The 25,054-nt window shown below is 34.2% G+C and overlaps 1 protein-coding gene and 1 long non-coding RNA gene across 2 annotated transcripts in view; one reads left to right on the forward strand and one right to left on the reverse strand.

Moving 5' to 3' along the window:
• PTPRQ (protein tyrosine phosphatase receptor type Q) overlaps nucleotides 1–25,054 on the forward strand; it is a 236,039-nt gene that overhangs the window by 72,758 nt on the left and 138,227 nt on the right. Inside the window, exons 18-21 of the mRNA NM_001145026.2 lie at nucleotides 17,023–17,183; nucleotides 17,900–18,045; nucleotides 22,784–22,952; nucleotides 24,563–24,853. Coding sequence (NP_001138498.1) covers nucleotides 17,023–17,183; nucleotides 17,900–18,045; nucleotides 22,784–22,952; nucleotides 24,563–24,853 — 767 coding nt within the window. The remainder of the gene's footprint in view (nucleotides 1–17,022; nucleotides 17,184–17,899; nucleotides 18,046–22,783; nucleotides 22,953–24,562; nucleotides 24,854–25,054) is intronic.
• LOC105369867 (uncharacterized) overlaps nucleotides 13,582–25,054 on the reverse strand; it is a 176,665-nt gene continuing 165,192 nt past the window's right edge. The window contains exon 5 of the long non-coding RNA XR_007063388.1: nucleotides 13,582–15,586. This is a non-coding gene — a long non-coding RNA (uncharacterized LOC105369867). The remainder of the gene's footprint in view (nucleotides 15,587–25,054) is intronic.

Genomic DNA, 25,054 nt, shown 5'->3' on the forward strand with positions numbered 1-25,054 from the left:
ATGCTCTTTAGGGCTTAATATGAGGTTTCTAGTGGGATGACCAATGTTCTGACCAATGTTCTCTCTCAACTCTTTCCTGATAGTCATTTTTCTGAATCACTCTGAAGCTTGAGTGCCAAGGTCAAGCCCATGGCCACTCATGATTTGCAAGTGGGTCATAAATTTAGAATTGATTGTCAGTGTTAAAAAAATGAGTAGATCTCTTGTAAAACTTCAATTTCCTTTGTTTCTTATAAAAATCAGAACACTTTTGCCATATTTCCTGTGGCAAAAAAAAATCAGCAGAGTTGAATGGTGGCTGTCTTTTATTTGAAGCATTTGCTTAGTTGTTTACCGTGATTCCCATCACACCCTCTTATTTCATTTTATCTGAAAGAAAATTTTGTAGGTACATAGTAGGTTTATATATTTATGGGGTACATGAGATACTTTGATACAAGCGTGTAACAAGTAATAACATCATGGAAAATGGGGTATCCATCCCCTCAAGCATTTGTCCTTAGTGTTATAAACAATCCAATTATACTCTTTTAGTTATTTTATAATGTACAATTAATTATTATTTATTGTAGTCACCCTGTTGCACTGTCAAATACTAGATCATATTCATTCTTTCTATTTTTTTATACCCATTAACCATCCCCACTTTCCCCACCCCTCCTCACTACCCTTCCCACCTTCTGGTAACCATGCTTCTACTCTCTATCTCTATAAATTCAATTGTTTTGATATTTAGCATCCACAAATAAATGAGAACATGTGAAGTTTGTCATTTGTGCCTGACTTATTTGACTTAACACAATGACCATGATGGCATCTCATTCTTTTTTATTGCTGCATAGTACTCCATTGCGTATAGATGTACCACATTTTCTTTATCGAGTCAACCATTGATGGACATTTTGGTTGCTTCCAAATCTTGGCTATTGTGAAGAGTACTGCAACAAACATGTAAGTGCAGATATCTCTTCCATATACTGATTTCCTTTCTTTTGGCTATATACCCAGCAGTAGGATTGCTAGATTTTACATTAGCTCTATTTTTAGTTTTTTGAGGACCTTCCAAACTGTTCTCCGTAGTGATTTTACTAATTTGTATTCCCACCAACAGTGTACAAGGGTTCCCTTTTCTTCACATTCTCTCCAACATTTGTTATTGCCTGTCTTTTGGAGAAGAGCTATTTTAACTGGGGTGAGATGGTATCTCACTGTAGTTTTGATTTGCATTTCTCTGATGATCAATGATGTTGAGCACCTTTTCATAAGCCCCCTTGACATCTGTATGTTATCTTTTGAGAAATGTCTATTCAAATATTTTGTCCATTTTTGATTGGATTGTTAGTTCTTTTTCCTGTAGAGTTGTTTGAGCTGCTTATGCATTCTGGTTATTAATCCCTTGTCAGATTGACAGTTTGCAAATATTTTCTCCTATTCTGTGGGTTGTCTTTTCTCTTTGTTGATTGTTTTCTTTGCTGTACAGAAGCTCTTTAACTAGTTGTGATCCTGTTTGTCCGTTTTTGCTTTGGTTGCCTATGCTTGTGGGGTATTACTCAAGAAATTTTCACCCAGATCAATATCCTGGAGATTTTACCCAATGCAATAGTTTCATAGTTTGAGGTCTTAGATTTAAGTCTTTAATCCATTTTGATTTAATTTTTGTATATGGTGAAAGATGGAGGTCAAGTTTCATTCTTCTGCATATGGATATCCAGTTTTCCCAGCACCATTTATTGAAGAGACTGTCCTTTATCCAATGTATGTTCTTGGCATCTTTAGCAAGAATGAGTTCATTGTAGGTATGTGAACTTGTTTCTGCGTTCTCTATTCTGTTCCATTGGTCTATGTGTCTGTTTTTATGCCAGTACCATACTATTTTGGTTACTATAACTCTGTAGTATAATTTGAAGTCAGATAATGCGATTCCTCCAGTTTTTTCTTTTTGCTTAGGATAGCTTTGTTATTCTGGGTCTTTCATGGTTCCATATAAATTTTAGGATATTTTTTCTATTTCTGTGAAGAATGTCTTTGATATTTTGACAGAGATTGCATTGCATCTGTAGATTGCTTTGGGTAGTATAGATAGGATATTTTAATAATATTGATTCTTCCACCCCATGACATCGAATAGCTTTCCATTTTTTGGTGTCCTCTTCACTTTTTTTCATCAATGTTTTATAGTTTTTATTATAGAGAACTTTTACTTCCTGCCACCAAACCTTATTTTAAACGAAACTTTTTAGTCATTTATTTTACTTGTCTGAATCTTGAGTTATTAACTGTTGATTTAGGCAATCTTCTCATCAAGTTTTTGAAATGCAGAACACTGAGAGAGTTTGTGATTTCTTTGCATGTCAGACTTAGGGAACAAAATGTCTCAGAAAGCTGAAGGAACTGAATCAAGAATAGTGCTATTAACTTAAAAATCTCACAATCTAAAAATTTGGAAAGGAGACTTTATTTCTTTTAAAGGATGACAGCCTTCAAAGTGGCCATCTCTCACACTGGGAAGTGTGCCTCCAGCAAAGACCGGAGATGGGCACTTTGAAGGAGGAGGGATCGGGGTAGGAGCTTTATGCGGAAAGGGTTAGCTAAACATACATATTTAACCTGCTACAGGAGGAGCTATGAATATTCAGGAAGGTGGTCCTGACACATGTGTATTGAACAAACATGTATGTAACAAACGATCCATGTTCACTTTGGGGTTGAGACTTCACATTTAAATGTATTACAATTAGGTCCTATACATCAAATGATTTTTTCAGTACACAAAGTCATTCAAGTGCACAGCCTCTGTAAATTAGCCAGAACCAGTCCATGGTCAGTGGTCTTATCAGGAGAAAGTTACTGAAATCAGTATCTTGTCCAATCAAAGCTGTAATTATGGCTTGTGGAACAGGGGCTCAGTTAGTCTCTGTCTGATGGTGAGCTACAATTGTTTTAATATTGCTTATCTTGAGTCCAGTGCTTGTTTAACTGCTAGAGAAAAATAAAACCTATGGCAGTTAGAGCATAGGTTAAGTGTGTGTTTTGGGTGGGGATTGGGGGGGATACATGTCTTAACCCTTGCCTGACATGGCCATATGTCATGTTTATAATTTGGTATCTTATTGTCACGAACAGTCTGTTCTCTCAGCCTCGTGGTCTCTATTTCATATGGTTTGGTTGTGTCCCCACCCAACTCTCATCTCATGTTGAATTGTATCTCCCATAATTTCCACATGTTGTTGGAGGGACTGGTAGGAGATAATTGAATCCTGTGGCGGTTTCCCCCATACTGTTCTCATAGTAGTGAATAAGTCTCATCAGACCTGATGGCTTTTTTATTTTTTGTATTTTATGTCTTTAATCACATATTACTTTTAATACAATTTTTTAAAATTATACTTTAAGTTTTAGGGTACATGTGCACAACGTGCAGGTTTGTTACATATCTATACATGTGCCATGTTGGTGTGCTGTACCCATTAACTCACCATTTAACATTAGGTGTATCTCCTAATGCTATCCCTCCCCCCTCCCCCCACCCCACAACAGGCCCCGGTGTGTGATGTTCCCCTTCCTGTGTCCATGTGTTCTCATTGTTCAATTCCCACCTATGAGTGAGAACATGCGGTGTTTGGTTTTTTGTCCTTGTGATAGTTTGCTGAGAATGATGGTTTCCAGCTTCATCCATGTCCCTACAAAGGACATGAATTCATCATTTTTTATGGCTGCATAGTATTCCGTGGTGTATATGTGCCACATTTTCTTAATCCAGTCTATCATTGTTGGACATTTGGGTTGGTTGCAAGTCTTTGTTATTGTGAATAGTGCCACAATAAACATACGTGTGCATGTGTCTTTATAGAAGCATGTTTTATAATCCTTTGGGTATATATCCAGTAATGGGATGGCTGGGTCAAATGGTATTTCTAGTTCTAGATCCCTGAGGAATCGCCACACTGACTTCCACAATGGTTGAACTAGTTTACAGTCCCACCAACAGTGTAAAAGTGTTCCTATTTCTCCACATCCTCTCCAGCACCTGTTGTTTCCTGACTTTTTAATGATCACCATTCTAACTGGTGTGAGATGGTATCTCATTGTGGTTTTGATTTGCATTTCTCTGATGGCCAGTGATGATGAGCATTTTTTCATGTGTCTTTTGGCTGCATAAATGTCTTCTTTTCAGAAGTGTCTGTTCATATCCTTTGCCCACGTTTTGATGGGGTTGTTTGTTTTTTTCTTGTAAATTTTGTTTGAGTTCTTTGTAGATTCTGGATATTAGCCCTTTGTCAGATGAGTAGATTGCAAAAATTTTCTCCCATTCTGAAGGTTGCCTGTTCACTCTGATGGTAGTTTCTTTTGCTGTGCAGAAGCTCTTTAGTTTAATTAGATCCCATTTGTCAATTTTGGCTTTGGTTGCCATTGCTTTTTGTGTTTTAGACATGAAGTCCTTGCCCATGCCTATGTCCTGAATGGTATTGCTTAGGTTTTCTCCTAGAGTTTTTATGGTTTTAGGTCTGACATTTAAGTCTTTAATCCATCTTGAATTAATTTTTGTGTAAGTTGTAAGGAAGGGATCCAGTTTCAGCTTTCTACATATGGCTAGCCAGTTTTCCCAGCACCATTTATTAAATAGGGAATCCTTTCCCCATTGCTTTTTTTTGTCAGGTTTGTCAAAGATCAGATAGTTGTAGATATGAGGCGTTATTTCTGAGGGCTCTGTTCTGTTCCATTGATCTATATCTCTGTTTTGGTACCAGTACCATGCTGTTTTGGTTACAGTAGCCTTGTAGTATAGTTTAAAGTCAGGTAGCGTGATGCCTCCAGCTTCATTCTTTTGGCTTAGGATTGACTTGGCAATGTGGGCTCTTTTTTGGTTCCATATGAACTTTAAAGTAGTTTTTTCCAATTCTGTGAAGAAAGTCATTGCTAGCTTGATGGGGATGGCATAGAATCCATAAATTACCTTGGGCAGTGTGGCCATTTTCACGATATTGATTCTTCCTACCATGAGCATGGGATGTTCTTCCATTTGTTTGTATCCTCTTTTAATTCATTGAGCAGTGGTTTGTAGTTCTCCTTGAAGAGGTCCTTCACATCCCTTGTAAGTTGGATTCCTAGGTATTTTATTCTCTTTGAAGCAATTGTGAATGGGAGTTCACTCATGATTTGGCTATCTGTTTGTCTGTTATTGGTATATAAGAATGCTTGTGATTTTTGTACATTGATTTTGTATCCTGAGACTTTGCTGAAGTTGCCTATCAGCTTAAGGAGACTTTGGGCTGAGACGATGGAGTTTTCTAGATATACAATCATGTCATCTGCAAACAGGGACAATTTGACTTCCTCTTTTCCTAATTGAATACCATTTATTTCCTTCTCCTGCCTAATCGACCTGGCCAGAACTTCCAACACTATGTTGAATAGGAGTGGTGAGAGAGGGCATCCCTGTCTTGTGCCAGTTTTCAAAGGGAATGCTTCCAGTTTTTGCCCATTCAGTATGATATTGGCTGTGGGTTTGTCATAGATAGCTCTTATTATTTTGAAATACGTCCCATCAATACCTAATTTATTGAGAGTTTTTAACGTGAAGGGCTGTTGAATTTTGTCAAAGGCCTTTTCTGCATCTATTGAGATAATCATGTGGTTTTTGTCTTTGGTTCTGTTTATATGCTGGATTATGTTTATTGATTTGCATATGTGGAGCCAGCCTTGCATCCCAGGGATGAAGCCCACTTGATCATGGTGGATAAGCTTTTTGATGTGCTGCTGGATTTGGTTTGCCAGTATTTTATTGAGGATTTTTGCATTGATATTCATCAGGGATATTCATGTAAAATTCTCTTTTTTTGTTGTGTCTCTGCCAGGCTTTGGTATCAGGATGATGCTGGCATCATAAAATGAGTTAGGGAGGATTCTCTCTTTTTCTATCAATTGGAATAGTTTCAGAAGGAATGGTACCAGCTCCTCCTTGTACCTCTGGTAGAATTCGGCTGTGAATTTTTCTGGTCGTGGACTTTTTTTGGTTGGTAAGCTATTAATTATTGCCTCAATTTCAGAGCCTGTTATTGGTCTATTCAGAGATTCAACTTCTTCCTGGTTTAGTCTTGGGAGGGTGTATGTGTCGAGGAATTTATCCATTTCTTCTAGATTTTCTGGTTTATTTGCATAGAGGTGTTTATAGTGTTCTCTCATGGTAGTTTGTATTTCTGTGGGATCGGTGGTGATATCCCCTTTAGCATTTTTTATTGCGTCTATTTGATTCTTCTCTCTTTCCTTCTTTATTAGTCTTGCTAGTGGTCTATCAATTTTGTTGATCTTTTCAAAAAACCAGCTCCTGGATTCATTGATTTTTTTGAAGGGTTTTTTGTGTTTCTATTTCCTTCAGTTCTGCTCTGATCTTAGTTATTTCTTGCTTTCTGCTAGCTTTTGAATGTGTTTGCTCTTGCTTCTCTAGTTCTTTTGATTGTGATGTTAGGGTGTCAATTTTAGATCTTTCCTGCTTTCTCTTGTGGGCATTTAGTGCTATAAATTTCCCTCTACACACTGCTTTGAATGTGTCCCAGATATTCTGGTATGTTGTGTCTTTGTTCTCATTGGTTTCAAAGAACATCTTTATTTCTGCCTTCATTTCATTATGTACCCAGTAGTCATTCAGGAGCAGGGTGTTCAGTTTCCACGTAGTTGAGCAGTTTTGAGAGAGTTTCTTAATCCTGAGTTCTAGTTTGATTGCACTGTGATCTGAGAGATAGTTTGTTATAATTTCTGTTCTTTTACATTTGCTGAGGAGTGCTTTACTTCCAACTATGTGGTCAATTTTGGAATAGGTGTGGTGTTGTGCTGAAAAGAATGCATATTCTGTTGATTTGGGGTGGAGAGTTCTGTAGATGTCTATTAGGTCTGCTTGGTGCAGAGCTGAGTTCCATTCCTGGATATCCTTGTTAACTTTCTGTCTCATTGATCTGTCTAATGTTGACAGGGGGTGTTAAAGTCTCCCATTATTATTGTGTGGGAGTCTAAGTCTCTTTCTAGGTCTCGAAGGACTTGGTTTATGAATCTGGTTGCTCCTGTATTGAGTGCGTATATATTTAGGATCGATAGCTCTTCTTGTTGAATTGATTCCTTTAGCATTATGTAATGGCCTTCTTTGTCTCTTTTGATCTTTGTTGGTTTAAAGTCTGTTTTATCAGAGACTAGGTTTGCAACCCCTGCCTTTTCTTGTTTTCCATTTGCTTGGTAGATCTTCCTCCATCCCTTTATTTTGAGCCTATGTGTGTCTCTGCATGTGATATGGGTTTCCTGAATACAGAACACTGATGAGACCTGATGGTTTTACAAGGGGTTTCCCCTTTCGCTTGGCTTTCATCCTTTCTTGCCTGTCGCCATTAAGACATGCCTTTTGCCTGCTGCCATGATTGTGAGGCCTCCTAAGCCACATGGAACTGTGAGTCCATTAAACTTCTTTTTCTTTATGAATTACCAGTCTCAGGTATGTCTTTATCAGCAGCGTAAAAACAGAATATTGCACAATTTTAGCATTAATTTAGGTCAGCTGTTGTGTCTAACAGTAAGTGGTGGGGGATATACTGAGGTGTGTCTGACCTCCCATCCTGTCATGGCCAGAAACTCCATTGTTTTTAAGATTCTGTTGGTTGACAGGCTTAGGATTGTATTTTTAGCTTACCGTGTACTAGTTACCATTTTGAGACAAATGTTTCTTACATATTTTTTTCTTTTTTCAAAAATACCACAGAGAAAAGAATATTATCCCCATTTTATAGTTGTGGAAATGTTCTTGATGAGATTAAGGACACAGGTAAGGTTACAGAGCTAAGGATGACAGAATAAGAATTCACACCCAGATCTGTGTTACTCTCAAATTATGCTTTTACTACACCAATAGGGATATGTGTTATAATTGGCCTTTGTTCTAAAAATAAAACAGCGCATTTATAGGATTATAGAAGTCTGAATTTGGTAACAGCATGTGTGAAAAATATTTAGGGAGTTTAAGTAAGCTTATTGCATCAACTCATGTGGGATATTTCTACCAAAAAATTATTGGCTTAATATTGGTCTGTGTTCATTGGTGGACTGTATCTATTATGACAGAATGATAATTACACTATTTCATGAGTCAAACCAGTTGGATTACTGGTTAGTACAGTTTGAATACACAGAGTAGAGCTTGTTCAGGGAGAAGTGATGAAGATGGTGGAAATCCTCAGAATCAAGGCATATGCGGAACTATTGAAATAAGGGAACAGGTCAAGATTACTAATAGTCAAGATTCTTTTTGTTTCAAGTACTGGACTCATCCCAAATTGGCTTAAGCAAAAATGGGAATATATTGATACATATAGCTGAAATGTCCTGATAATGTTATCAGGTGTGGTTAACAGCAAGAAGCTTGATGTGGTCAACAATGAGATGGCCTTTGTGTCTTGTGTATAATGGCACAGGATAAAAGTGGGAGTAGATAAAGCTGGAGAGCTGGTTAGGCCATATACATTGAGTCTTGAAGCCAGAATAAGAAGTTTGAATTTTCTTGCGAGTGCAGCGGAAAGCCCGTGGAATGTTTTCTCCAGGAGTGTGATCATACATCTTTGGGTACATGGTTTAAATAAAATTTTAAAATTCTGTGTAATACTAACAGTCATATTCTCTCTCTCTGTCTCTCTCTCTCTCTCTCTCTCTCTCTGTCTCTGTCACTCTCGGGTTTCTTACTCTGTGTATGTGTATGTGGTTCTACTTATAAGAAGTCAATTTATTACTGAATTGCCTTAGTTCTCCCTCCCTAAATAATGTGGATACTATAAAAAACAATGGGAGTATACTACTGATTATTATTATAATACGTACTTGACCTATTGAAAAGCTCAGTTCCCTTTCTATAATTCTCATAACATTTGTATTTTCTTGTTTAATAAGGATCTTCCTGCGAGTTGGTGAGGTCTAGTGTAGTGACTGTACTTTATCACAAGTCACTAGCTCAGTGCCTGAAACACAGTAAGTATTCTAAACAATTTTTAAGAGATAGCATCAAAAATCTAGAGGAGAAACCACATGGACATATTTCAGCATGTTTGTGGTCAATCAATTTTAATTTAACCTCTCTAATGCTCTGGATTTCCACAGTTCTATGCCCCATCCTATCTGTGCTTTCTCTGGTATATGGATCTTCACATAAAAATCAAAATCTATGGAGACAGGGTATGAATTGGAACCCAGAATTGGCCATCTCAGAGAAGCAGGTGTTTACAGAAAGGAAGATTGCAGAGAGGCTAGATTTGGGAGCTAAAGCTTTGGTTGGAGGAAACTAAGTTGGAGAACTAGTTCTGTACATTGGAATTCCAGAAACTTTCAGAAGAGTCAGTTGGACATATCAGTCCAAAGACTATTAGTGTGGTTTTTGTATGGTGAATAGAATTATGTGGGTATAGAATTGGAAAGTGATAAGAATTTCCCCAAAAAATATATATAGTAAGGTGAAGGTGATTTCACAGACAATTAAGATCAAATGTATAATGTATATGGCTTTCTGTAGCTTCTGCTTGATCAAAGGCCAAAATAGTAAATTTAAAGTTTTGCCCATCCTCCAAGTCTTCCATAAGCAACACTTTCCACAGCTTTTTAGAGGAACTGAAGAACAGACAGTTTGAAATTATGTTCTTTGGGGAGAGCCAGGAGTAACAATATTATAAATTTGTAGTAAGGCAAGTACCATGTGTTTAAAAATTTTTTAAAGCAGGGGCTAACGTTGATACTATTTGGTTACATTTAAGAGTCCTAACCAGGACTTTCTCTAAGAAATGAAAATTAATGAGCTTTTGTTTTTTTAAAGCCTTATGATGAGAAATTAATGTGGTGATCAGATATTTGAAACTATTGAAGAAAAAATGAAAGAAAATATCTTTAGTAAAGTGGAAGGGCACTGATTTACTGAAAAAAATTATTTAAGTAATTTTTTCCAACCTTTAGAGCTTTATGCTTATAAATAAAAAGCCTCTACTAAAAGACATTCCACCACTGATTATATTTTAAAGCTTGCTATACATTAAGCACTTTGCATCACCTTAGCTTTTTTTAAAAATCATTTTTGTTTCTACAACACATGGCAAACTTTCAGTAAAAAGGCCATCTTTCTTATTTCTTGACTAAATGTGTTAAAAGACACTTTCATTTATAAAATTAATTTTATGATTATATTTATAGAACCTGTAACTTTTGAAAATTTCCAGTAGAAAAATGTTTTGAAAAATATTTATACTATGTAAACCCTGTCAAGTAATTGTTAACCTTGTATTCATCTGAACACAATTTAATTTACACCAAAGTTATTTAATTCATTATTATACTATACTATTATTGTTCACAAAAATTGACCCTTTTCCAAATAAAAATTGTGTTCTAACATTTAATTCATGATGCTTTAAAGTATTAAATATTATGCTTTGCTCTCCCTTTGTACAAAATTGATAAGTTCTCAAGCAGACAGGGAAGAAACATGAATAATTATTCCCATATTATCATTAATAATCATATATAATCCATAAATTCCATACTTATAGAAGCTAAATTAAAAATTTACAAAAGAGAAAAACAAAACTAATAAGTAATTTAAAATACAGAGTTAAAAAAGAAATGGGGAGATGATCCAGAAAAAGGAGAAAAAGCACATTTAATTTAATGTTAGGAATGAAAAAGGAGACATAACTACAGATAACTCAAAAATTAAGAGATATCTTTAATCTCAGCACTTTGGGAGGCCAAGGTGGGCAGATGGCTTGATCCCAGGAGTCTGAGACCAGCGTGGGCACCATAACTACAGATATCTAAAAATTAAGAAATATCTGTAATCCCAGCACTTTGGGAGGCCAAGGTGGGCAGATGGCTTGAACCCAGGAGTTTGCGATCAGCCTGGGCACCATGGTGAGACCCCATCTCTAGAAAAAATAAACAGGTATGGTAACATATGCTTGTATCCCAGCTATTCAGGAGACTGAGATGGGAGGAGCACCTGAGCCTGGGGTTGGGGCCATCGACGCTGCAGTGAGTTGTGATCATACCACTGCACTCCAGCCTGGGTCACAGAGTGAGACTCTGTCTCATAAATAAATAAATAAATAAATGGACATTTAAAATAACCTTATGACAATAAATTTCAAATGGATGAAATCTTAAACTTCTAGTAAGATATAACTTATACACTTTGTAAAAGAAAATAAAAATATCTGAATAGTTTATAAGCTTTAAAGGAGAGAAACGGGTAGTTAATAATTGTATATTCCTCCAATAGCCCATTTTCTGAAGTATTTTACTCAAATTTTGGAGCCCTAATGGGATGATAATATGTGGCTATAAACCCATTGAAGCCAGAGGTTATGTCTTTGTCACCTTCATATTTCCATCACAGAGTATAATAACTTATATTTTAGGCCCTCAATAAATACTTGTTGAAATAATGAAAGAAAGAAGTATTGTACATTTAAAAGTCTTGTTTTTTCTAATCTCACTAATCTTTGAGCACCCCTGGGAAGTCATTTTTCATGTTTTTGATCAGTTTCCTCTCCTGTTGTCCTCAGAAATTTTCCCAAATCATCTCTATTTTCAAGCCCTTTGCTAAATCTCACTCATCTCATTCAAAGCAGACAAACCCAGCTTCCATTCTAAACTTAAAGTTGAGGTGACTATCTCAAAAATTTGACTATTTCAAATTCCTGCTTCCAGAATCCATCAACTCATTTACATCCATTCTCAGAGGATGAAATCTCTCTCTTTCAGTTCAAGTGCAATCCTTCCTCCTGCCTTCTGGATCCTAATTCCTTGTGTCTGCTCTAAAGCTATCTATGGATTATTAGTGTATGCTTCCTCAGCTTCAAACTCATTCTCTTCAGTGGCTTTGTCCTTTAATCTTTTAAATGTATCTTTCCTACCAAAAGCAAACAAGCAAAACAAAGCCAAACCAAACCAAACCAAGTTAGCCAGTCAACCAAATGATGACAATAGGAACAATAACAACAAATGAATACCTTGCTTTGACTCAGACTGTCTCTGAGATGCTAGAACAGCTTTAGGAATGTGCAACTGTTTATGCCTTGCTAGTTTGGGATTATTTAATACATAATCACTAGCCTACTGATGCTAGCAAGTTGTATAGAGTAATTATGCTAAAGTACAACATCGAAGAGTAGTTTCCTTATATAATGGGAAAATTAATGAACATCACTGGTTCATATGAGGAAAAAAATAATCTAATAAAGAGTCAAGTAAGTGAGTGTTCACATTCTTCATTTTGGGGAGTTCTATTTAGTGAGTGAAAGGATTAATCTACAACATTTAGATAATAACTGATTAAAGTTTTGAAAATAAATTCACAAAAATGAACAGGGATAGATGTATCATCAGGGTAGATTATGCACATGGAACAAAATATCAAATGATAAAGATTAAAACTAAGACTATGACTTTTCAAAGGGTCTCAAACCTTGTCTAGAGAACCATACACATTTATACTTATGGAAACAGAGAAATTTATTTACTGTGGTTTGGGTATTCAGGATTCCTTCATAGGCCTAGCATGGACTTGGTGTTGTAAGAGAGAAACAAAGAAATTGGTAAAGCAAATTAATTGCTCTTTTGATCTAGAATTTCTTTTATGCACTAGATGTCAAAATGTGGTATGTCTTTTGAAAAAAAAATGTAAATTAATTAGGAAATAACTTCATCTTAGAGACTATTTATCCCAATTGAAGACTTTTTTTGGCGTTACCCATGAGTAAAGACAGAACAACTACATCTTGTATTTTTACAGAATAATTTCAAAGTAATTAAATTTTTTTTTCATTTCCTAAATTAGAAAAAGCTTCGAAACCTATTCAAAAATAGGTTTAGAGTTAAATAAGTAAAATCATTTTACTGAGGACTTCCCTCAAGTTTCATCTCAGTTTGAAAACAGTCACTGGGTTGGGAGATTTGGCCAGTGTTGAAAAGTAATATATTTTAGATAATAATTATTGTGTAACATTTATATTCCCTCACTTTGTACACAGTTTATGACTTTGGATATGTAAGAGTTAGACCTGCTTTGTCCTGTAGGCCTCCTCTCTTCTTCTCCCACCTCCCTCAACTCCCTATCCTACTCTCAAACTTTACAAACTGGCTTTCTAGTGAATAATTTCCTGGATCTCTGGGGCCATGCCTTATTCTCTTTTTTTATACTGTGGTCACAACTAATTTCTTTGCTCATTTCTTTCTTTGTTCTTTACTTTTAGCTACTAAGGGAAAAAGTTATTGTCCTTGTCCTTAAGGAAGTCACATTGTCATTAGCAAATTGTTTTAGAATTATTTACTGCTTTATCTCTCTATTTTGAGGATAGGGGCTGTATCTTACTCATATTTATGCCTAAAGTAGTGCCCGACACAAAGTAGATGCTAATTACATTTTGTTGGATTTTGTTGAATATTGATTTTGTACATATCATCTCTAAATTCAGAAGGTGTGAAAGTTAACTTTGCTTGCACTGTCTAACGAATGGTGTCTAAAGAGCTCAGACTAATAATGTTTTTCATTTAAAAGACTAAAATGAAATATAAAAAACCATAAATAAGTTTATTTTTGTGATTATTTGTTTTAATGGATCACAAATGACGAACAAACATGTAAGAAGACATTCTGTCTCACTCACAGCCAGGAATGGCTAACTAAAATCTAACTAAAAATCTACTAAAATCTAACTATATTTATAATATCCAGAGATTTATGTGAGTTTGTCAAAATGGGTACTCTCACACATTGGTGGTATGATTCTAAATAATTATAATTATTATAACTTAAAATTTGATACAGTAATCATTTTGGAGTAGTAATCTTAAAATTTTAAAAAGCATTCAAACCATTTGACTCAAGAAACACACAATTTGTATCCTGGTGTAGGGTTGCATGCCTGTAGTACCAGCTACTCTGAAGGAAGGCTAAGGTGGTAGGTTACCTTGAGCCCAGGATTCAAGTCCAGCCTAGGCAACATAACAAGACCTTGTCGCTAAAAAATATATATATTTAAATTTAAAGAAGTTTAAAAGGAATCACAATTTAATATGTAGAAATAAAAGTACTATTATGAAAAGATACTTCTTTAAGGATAACTATGGCATCATTGTTAATAATAGCTAAAGAAATAAAAAAGAGAAAAAGCCTGAAAGTTAACTCATAGAATGACTAAATAACTATGATATATCCAAATTATGCAACTACAAAAACATTATGATATAGATCATTGGTGTTAACATGATAAGAGAAAAAAATCAGGATATAGAACATATGCTTTTTTATAAATGAAAATAAAACATAATGGAACACATAATAATTATAATATTTTTAAGCTAATAAGAATAAAACAGATTTTAAAACTAAGCCAGCTGAAAGCAAGAGTAACAACTTATTATAGCAGTGTCAAAAATGAATTTCCTACATACGAATTTCCTACACAGGGTTTGCTCAAAGGGAGTGAACACTTTGAGCTTCAGGATTGCTCAGAAGATTGCTCCTTTGATTAGAGAGCTCACACTTCAGCACAGAGATTTATGTGTTATCTGCAATTCGGTAACAGCTACTAGGAAAATGGAGTTCGAGCCTTGGTGACAGTTCAATTCTGTCTCCTTTCTCTTTCTTTTAGTTATCAGTTTTATAGCAAATAACCTCTTACATATTTGATATATTCTGAATTGTTTTAATTAATATTCATGCTACCCTATTTTTCTAACTTATTTATTAAAATATCAGCCACAATCCTAAACTGCAAAAGAAAAATAAACCCTAAACAGATGAGGCATCTGAAAAAAATTTTTTTAGCTTAATTTTGTCTCTTGGGAGTAAACCAAGCTAGATGTTGAAACTATATATATGCAAACTGAAGTGAACTACTATGTTTTTATTAACATAATTTATAACAACAAGCTTCTTTTTACTAAAATATCTATTTGAGATAAAAATTTATTTTTGATATCCATTTCCAGGTAATTGCCTTGATTCTGCATTATCTATGGAACATAATCTGAGGCTTTTTTTTTACAGTTGGTAGATACTTATGTACAAGATTTTGCTGTGAAAATCAGGGCAAGAAGGTAGTGATGCAAGGTAGCAGATAACATTGAAATACATTTTTGAAAATAATTTTTAAAATTGATGTAATGCAATTAGATTACTTGAGCTAATAGCATAGCTTTATTTTATTTTATTTATTTTATTTTATTTATTTTTTTGAGACACAGTCTTGCTCTGTTGCCCAGGCTGGAGTGCAGTTGCCGATATTGGCTCACTTCAGCCTCCGCCTCCTGAGCTCAAGCAATTCTCGTGCCTCAGCCTCCTGAAAGCTGGGACCACAGGTCTGCCCACCACGCAGGGCTAATTTTTTTATTTTTAGTGGAGACAGGGTTTTGCCATGTTGCCCAGGCTGACCTTAAACTCCTGGTCTCAAGTGATCCAACCGCCTTGGTCTCCCGAAGTGCCGGCATTACAGGTGTGAGCCACCACACTCGTCTTAATTGCATAGTTTTAGAGATCCATGTTGGATTAGCTCTTCTGTAGTGTCCTGATGACCTGTGACCAATGATAAGAGTATGGAATTAGGTAGTTTCTATGAAAAGGCATCTTTTCTGGCGACTAATAGCCACAGTATCAAGAGTTTTAAAAGCCCCTCTCCTCTGGTCTCAATGGAGTCAAAGAAAACTCTCCCGACTGCTCCTGAAAAAGGATGTCAAATGAAACTGTTTCAAATTGCTGAATAGCCTGGCTAATCCTGCCTGTCTCCAATCACATACTCCGAATCCATATTTTTCTCACTGTGGTAAGCTTTCCAACTATTTTTCAGAAAACAAAACTTATATTTGGAATAACTTGGTGCTTCTGTGGCAGTAAAACCATGACTGAAATGTATCTCTGTGGAAACCCTTACTTCATTTAAAATTTATTATTCCTCCTAATGATTCAAGGCTTCAAATATTTCAATGGTAAAGAAAGAGCTTTTTCTATTCAGAGGGAATATTCATTTACTTCTTCAGTGCTTTGTGTGTCTAAAGTAGAAAAATATGAGATTACATGAGACATATACTTTTTCAGTGTTACTGATCATATTCCCTTATCTAAATTCTTTAATAACTAACTTTATTATTCCTAAAATATAAATAAAAAATAATGCACATTTTTCAGCATCACTATACACATGTTCATTTTTTGGTTTTAGATATTAATCTATACCCAGTTCAAACTGTGGAAACTGAACTAACATGACTGAAATAAAATAGTGTTATATTTTGTTCTTTAGACTCTTTTTTCCCTTCCTGAGATTTTGATATGTACTTGGAGAGTTTTGAGTCAATATTTATTTGATTTGTTTTCTTTTCTGGAGTGATATTGTAAATACTTTAAAGATTTTGATTGAGTGAGAGGTGTGAGCTATATTTTCTTCTTTCCTGTATGATATACATACGTTGTTTCCAATCTCATTTCTATTAAATAACTATAGGAGAGCCCACAGCCTTGTTATTTTACATATCACTATTTAGATATTTGTTATTTATTTATTTGTGTTGGCCTGAAGTAAATGTTACTTTTGTACGATATTTGAAGGATAGATTTATTTTATAAATTAATAGTTTAAATAAGATTTTGCCAGCATTTGAAATGAACAAATGTTTGGACAATGAAAACATCAGTATGAAAGGGAATACTGTAATTACTTTAGTACATAGTATTCCTTAATATCCATTAAAATTGGTCCAAGCAAACTCTAATTATGAACATCATATTAACATTTGATCTAATTACTGAATATAATTAAAAGCAAAATAAGTTAATTTACTAAAGAATTCTGAAATTTACTATTTTCAGTATTTCAGGATAACCAACATCTTTTTTCTATTAATCTAGAATAAATTTCCATATATTAATGTTGTTTACTTTTAATGTTAGTGTGCTCAAAAAGTATTGTTAACTTTTAAAATTCAATTCTACAGATAATATTCTTTTTATCTCAGGAATAGATCATCATTAAAAACTATTAATGTCACTGAAACATCATTGGAGTTATCAGATTTGGATTATAATGTTGAATACAGTGCTTATGTAACAGCTAGCACCAGATTTGGTGATGGGAAAACAAGAAGCAATATCATTAGCTTTCAAACACCAGAGGGAGGTGAGTTAAGGATGTATGCCAATTAAAAGAATGTTCTTTTTCTTTAAAAAAAAAATCCTGCCCAGAAAAATATTCAAATATCAAAATGTATGATGAAGCCTAATATTCATCATCAGTTTGATGAAAAATTGCATTTTGATCACTTTTTAGCTGTGTGATGTTGGGAAAATTAATCTCTGTGTGCCTCAATTTCCCATTGGTAATGTGGAAACAGTATCATTCTACTTCACAGGGTTCTTATGAAGATTACATAAGTTTATATTTTTAAAAGCACTTAGTACAGAAGTTACTTGACAAATAGAATTTTATGTGTTTATTAAACGAAACAACATAAAATGCATGAATCATTTGTCTATGACTTTTATTATTCAATATAAAAATTCTAAGTTATATTAGAATTTCAAATTATGTATTTTGTATTGGAAACCTGTTATAATATTGTTCTCATATCCAGAGCAGTGGACAGGTTTTAGAACGGAGATAGTATTTTATGGGTAAGAAATCTATCTGTCTTCAGCTTGAATATGCCTATAATAAAGTATTAGAGGGGTGACCCAATGTGTTTTATGGATTTCATTTCTGACATTTCTAATTCAAGCTTTTTTGAAAAACATTTTTTATCACTTTAATTTATAAACTGTAGGTAAAATTCAGGCCATTTCAGACATTACTTGTAAACACAAATACAGTAATTTGTTCAATTATTTGTTTTATAGCACCAAGCGATCCTCCCAAAGATGTTTATTATGCAAACCTCAGTTCTTCATCAATAATTCTTTTCTGGACACCTCCTTCAAAACCTAATGGGATTATACAATATTACTCTGTTTATTACAGAAATACTTCAGGTACTTTTATGCAGGTAAGAACTGAATTTTCTTCTAGTTCTTTATTAACATCCTTAAGTTTTATTAATAATACAGACTTGTCACAGTAAAAGAAATTGTTTACCTTACATTGATAATTAGGCACAGATGTATTTTATAAAACTCCCATTGACATAGAAAAATGCGGTGTAGAAATGTCAGATACATTTAATCTCTCTTTACAGACACACACACACACACACACATACAACTTCTATATAAGCTTCACATGTATTAAAAATAGTGAATCTGCCACCTACTGAAAATTCTGTTTATAAAGATGGCCCTCAATTACACTTCCTCCAATAAGTGTTCTCTAAAGTGCTGATGGTATCATTTATCCTCAAAGTTATTTATTAGCTAAATTTTTTTTCATTTGTTTGTATATGATATAAATAGTTCTAGTGTTTGGATGTGTTTGTTTTTCTTTAATTAAAAAAAGTTTTTGATAGCAGGAAGGGTTATTATAATAATAGTATATTAGTAGTTAATGTTTAATGTCAGATGAAATGAAGACCACTCGGAATGTGTTTAATTAATTTGTCATAGATAAGATTCTAGGCTTGCACAGTTTGTAGATGGGCACTCTCTAGGATGTGAATGATGATGGCTATGAAAATAGCTAACATGCATTTACTTTGAAAAAATATTTTCAATTTTCAACAGAATTATATTATTTCTTCAAATTAGATGTTTCACAGAACTCTAACATATAAAAAGGATAATTGGAATGATTATGATTGAATCAAAGATGCAGAGAGCTGGAATATAATTAGAAAAACACGGCCGGGCGTGGTGGCTCACGCCTGTAATCCCAGCACTTTGGGAGGCCGAGGCGGGCGGATCACAAGGTCAGGAGATCGAGATCATCCTGGCTAACACGGTGAAACCCCGTCTCTACTAAAAATACAAAAAATTAGCCAGGCGTCGTGGCAGGCGCCTGTAGTCCCAGCTACTGGGGAGGCTGAGGCAGGAGAATGGCGTCAACCCGGGAGGCGGAGCTTGCAGTGAGCTGAGATCCCGCCACTGCACTCCAGCCTGGGCGAGAGAGCGAGACTCCATCTCAAAAGAAAAAGAAAAACACGAATTTAGAAGAAATGCTGCAATGTACAGAATACATCCCTTAGTGGTAGAAATTATTGACCACATGTTTGTGTCTTAGGTGATTCTTAATTATTTCTATCCTTTTAAGTAAAAGAAGAAGAAAGATAAGTCTTACAAATTCTGAGTTACCTAATCCCATTTGTGACTGACAGCCCAAGTTTAGTCACTAGTTAGCTCTACTGAGTAACAGCCTCTGTAATTAAGACTTTAGTGCAGCTATAGTGCAATGTAGGCTAATGAAGAGGGCAAGAGCAGAACTTGCAAGCTATCTCAGGACTAACCTAGCAGGGAGAAAGACAAAGTCCAGAAGGTGGTTTAGTGTTTATATTCTGTTCTATAAGAGTAGGGTTGTATAAGTCTGTCTATTTAAAACTTGATGCAAAGAGAAAACTACTTTATAAAAGACATGTAGATATAATTATAGCTGTAATGAAAGACATGTAGATATAGTTACAGATGTAATCGTAAATCAACATTTTTGAACAAATGCCTTAAGAGCAGAAGGAGAAAGGAAGGTCTAGTTTTCTACTCTCTATGTCACGCAGTTTTTGCTTTTTGTTTTGTTCTCTGTAGGGAAGAGAAATGGGGCCTAGAGAGGCAATTTATTTTTTAACCAAAATGTTGTTTACAATTGTAACAATATGTCATTATACCCATAGAAGATATGCAAATTGGAGATTTTCCTTCTTTTATGCATTTAAAAAACATTGCACAATTGTTCCAGTAGTTCTAAATTTTAGCAATCATTTTGTCTCTGTACAATTTACTTATGGCTTCTATGTGATTTATATTTTGGTTCTCTTTGTCCATATCTAAATAATATAGCATAAGTATCAAACTATGGTTCCAACGTGATCTTCTAAACCTACTTATTCACACCTGGGTGTGTAATATGATCTAATTTGCAATTCATCTGCCTTAGAACATGTTATCTTTTATTAAATAATCTTAAGAATGCTTTTAAGTGTGACAGCTGCAAGAGGGCACAGGCTAATGATGTTAAAATATTTCAGAAGTATAGTCTCATATTGCTTGAAGTTTATCCGTGCTTTAACTTATTCCTAAAGTTAATGTTAAAAATAGCATCAATACCTTCACTACCTAATTTTCTATTTTGAATTAGTGGAAGAAAGCCTCAAAATGAAAATTATGTAGCAGAATAAGTGTATACCTTTTTATTTGTTCCTTATCATCTTTCCCCTTCCTACAGAACTTTGTAGAATATGTCATGCATGGCATATCATGTTCTGCCTCCTATTACCGATAACTGTTGCTTCTCTTAGTTCCCTTATGCCATGACAAGCATCTTGTAGAAAAAGAATTGTGTAATATTTATTTTTTCATCTCCAAAAGTCTTCTGCAACTATGTCAGACATAGGTTTAATGCTCAATACATATTTTAATTGAAAGATTTAAAAAATATTATAGTAGACCAACATCACTTTTAGTACATAGTCATAATTTTGGAGCCCTTGAGTATGTAGCGAAGCCATCTTTCCTTTTTCTTATCTTGGAGAATTTAACCTCTTTGCTACTACTTGGCAATCCATATTGTTCTTCCTTCAGTTGTTGCACATTGTATTTTGTACAGCATATTAACTTTTCTACTTTTTAAGTTTTACCCACTTATGTTTCCTTAGTGTGCCTGGCATAATGTCTTCTATTTTAAAAAGTGTTAAATGGGCCGGGTGTGGTGGCTCACGCCTGTAATCCCAGCACTTTGGGAGGCTGAAGCAGGTGGATCACGAGGTCAGGAGATCGAGACCATCCTGGCTAACAAGGTGAAACCCTGTCTCTACTAAAAATACAAAAAATTAGCCGGGCATGGTGGCAGGCTCCTGTAGTCCCAGGTACTCAGGAGGCTGAGGCAGGAGAATGGTGTGAACCTGGGAGGTGGAGGTTGCAGTGAGCCGAGATCGTGCCACTGCCCTCTAGCCTGGGCAACAGAGTGAGACTCTGTTTTAAAGAAAAAAAAAGTGTTAAATGAATATTAGTTGGTTGGTCAAATTTGAAAAAGTTTTACTAAATACCTTCTGACTATATTTATATAAACAAAAGAATAAGCCTTACTTAGATAATTTGTGCCAAAAGACATTTTGTTTTTGCAAAAATAAACAGCTGAATAAAATAATCATCTGGATAATTGATTTAATGTTACAAATTTGTTACATGCCTATGCACATTAAGTCACACAGTCAGCAGGAATGACTTCTGGGTGATTCAGATAATTTGTTATGTATTAGCCATCAAGGTCATAGGTAATCAGAATAAATTCTATAACAAAAATTAAAATTTACATCAAAAAGCTATGTTAATACTTTTAAGTGGTGCTTTATATAAGCCAGTTGTTCCATGTGTAAAGTAGATGTATTGGAAGGTATTAAAGTTCATGGATCATATTTTGTGTGAGATTGCTATATTACTTTAACTTGTCTATTTCTATGTAAATCACCACAAAATTGTAGTAAATCTTTTATTGCACTATATTTTTCCCTGAATACTGGCAAAAGAACCATAAAATTTTGCTAATTTAATTTGTTGATAAATTTCAGAACCATTCTTACTATAAATTTGGTAAATTTGCTTATCCTATGTTATTCATTTAAATGAAACTAATTACTGTTTTTTTTTAATTGTGTGCTAGACATGGTATTAATGGCTTTTTGTGCTTCATGTCATCTAATCCTCACAAGTTGTCTGTGAAGTGGAGATGATTATTTCCATTTTACAGTTGAAGGAAGAAAAGCTTTGAGATTAAATGATTTATCCAGGATACCCTGACAGAATTTGAATGCAGGTCTATAGGACTTAAATGGCTTCATGTGGATTGGAATGATTCAGGTTACTCTGCAGATGGAAATTATAAAATTATTCATACTGATTAGCTATGTGTTTAAGTCTCCTTTTATTTTAGAATTAATTTTATTTGGCTATATGTTTTATTTTTAAAATTTGATAGGAAAGAAAATGATTACATACATACCCTAATACTTTTTTTTAAGCCTTGGGGAAAAATGCAACTAGGAGTCAGTCAAGAGAATTTAAAACTTTCTCTTACTCTACACATCAGAGAGTACATCAGTCTGCTATCCCTTTGCTACAACTGTGAGAAGTAAAGTCTGAAAAGAAATGTGAAAGTCTGAAAGCCCACTAAATGTGAATAATAATAGCGATTTGAGTTCATAGAAACAGGCAAACACATTCGAAATTCCTTCATCACAAATGGAAAGAAACACAATTAAAAGTTTTCTAATACTCCCAAACTTGTTTAAAATTAGCTGATGCTTTGAAAATTACTTGAATGTTTTTATAAGGAAAGTGATGCTGATCAGCACAGTTGTAGCATTTCCATTTGGCCACTTGACATTCTTCATTGTTGGCTTGGAGTTTTTATTCTTTGCTATTTTTTTGTATTGGCTTTGCAATAAAAACCACCATCTATTTCTCTTTTAGTACAAACATATTTCCAGTTTAATTGTTGCAATAAAAAATGTTCTATGTCGATTTTCCTAAAACAACATATTAAAATAATGATAAATAGTAAAATCGATCCATTGATAACAATTAGTTTGAAGTGTTCATGCATACTAAAAAAATACATTCTGAACAATGAATGTGTTTATTTTTCAGAATTTTACACTCCATGAAGTAACCAATGACTTTGACAATATGACTGTATCCACAATTATAGATAAACTGACAATATTCAGCTACTATACATTTTGGTTAACAGCAAGTACTTCAGTTGGAAATGGGAATAAAAGCAGTGACATCATTGAAGTATACACAGATCAAGACAGTATGTAAACAAAAAACACTAATCTTTAATATGATTAATTTAAAACTTATTATTTTAGGAAATTTTACTATTTGTTTGAATTTGTAATAACATCTTTTATTTAGACACGTTCATTATAGGAGTTTGAAAATGCAATTAATATACTTACAAAACTATTGCAGTAATAGCCTCTTCTGTTCAAGAAAACTGCTAACATCCGTTCATGAAAATTCTGTTCTTTTTATTGCTTCAAAAGATGTCGTGGCCATCCAGTTATGGGCACAAAAAGTACTGCATACATGGATGAATTTTCCAGTAGTTAATTTATTTATTCATTTTCCTTAAGGACTTAAAAAATCTCTAGCAACTTGTTTTCTTTTCAGACTTTGAATCTACACAGGACTCTGCAGCACATCTCTTCTCACTGTGTTTGTGACTAATATATCCAGAGTATTTTCCTTAACTCCAGAAGTTTCTCGTATGCATCTTCTGAAGAATCCTATTTATCCCGAGTATTCAGAAAACTATAATGATTGAAGATCTTGATGTTTTTTATGTTTCAATTTTCAGAATACAGTGATAAGTGGATCATTGCCTATTTTTCTTGTAGTTGTTTCTGTCATCCATTTGCTTATTTTCAAAGATTAATCCCTTATTGAGAAGTGGCAGTGACCTAAACTTCTGGAGTAAAACTCCATGTTTATTATCTGAAAGCCATAAATTGACAGATTCCTTAAGCATGAGAAGTGAATGCTTGATTTGTTGTTGGAACAGTCTTTTGAATTGTTGACAAGTTGGTCAACATAAAAATAAATGATAAATGTGGGGAAATATGTATTTGGGGAGTCTTTAGCAAAAATGTTATATTGTAATATATGATCAATACCATTTCAGGCATTCTTTAAATGCAGATCTCTCCCAGGATTTTTGCCAACCTATGACATTTTATCACTTATAATTTCCACACCATGGATAATAAGCACTTACTATGCACTACTCCAGGTGGATGTCAAATTTACGTTAATAGAGTTTAATATCACAATACAACTTATATCTGAGAATTGGAACTTGTGTGTAAGTAGAGTAACTTTGTAATGTACAAATGTGAGTTGGTAGTCTGGTGACTGGAGAGATTTTGAGACTAGATCTTGGGAAAGCTTTTAGTATTGATTCTTCTGGCTACCCACATGACCTTGGAGAAGTAACTTAATGGCTGAGCTTTAGTTTCCTCATATGTACAACAAGGGTAATATTTAGAAGAAATAAGCTAAAAAGATGGTTTAAATAACATAAATTATCAAAATATTTAAATAAGGCAGTATACATACACATATTATGCACACACACGCACACACACACAATCTCCACATAGTAGGAAAGAAGAGTCAAGAGAATATTATAGAAACAATTCCCATACATATTAAAGATGACAGAGTTTATTTTGAATGATTTTTAAAATAATTATTTAGAAGATATTTTATAATAGGTGAATGTTTGCCACATCTGCATTTAAATAATTTAAGAGCTGATGATGTAATAGTTGCCATTTCAACAATTATACTCAGTTTGTGAATTTAGATTCTGTTTAGGGTAACTGATGATTTTTGTATTTTGCCCATTACCTATCATAGTACCTGAAGGGTTTGTTGGAAACCTGACTTACGAATCCATTTCGTCAACTGCAATAAATGTAAGCTGGGTCCCACCGGCTCAACCAAACGGTCTAGTCTTCTACTATGTTTCACTGATCTTACAGCAGACTCCTCGCCATGTGAGACCACCTCTTGTTACATATGAGAGAAGCATATATTTTGATAATCTGGAAAAATACACTGATTATATATTAAAAATTACTCCATCAACAGAAAAGGGATTCTCTGATACCTATACTGCCCAGCTATACATCAAGACTGAAGAAGATGGTAGGCTAGACCCTTTTATTGTCTGTTAAGCAGATTGTTGTTCTTTTCATTTACATTGCTTTCTGATAGGAAATAGTCTTCAATTATATTGATTCTGTTTGATCTCAAGTAATTAGCCTTTCAATAAACACAGTGTTTCTTAAAATAATCTGCTAAGAAAATCAAATCCCATTATGATTGAATCCTCTTTTTTTAATGCTG

This window comes from Homo sapiens, chromosome 12 (assembly GCF_000001405.40).
Source record: "Homo sapiens chromosome 12, GRCh38.p14 Primary Assembly".
NCBI lineage: Eukaryota > Metazoa > Chordata > Mammalia > Primates > Hominidae > Homo > Homo sapiens.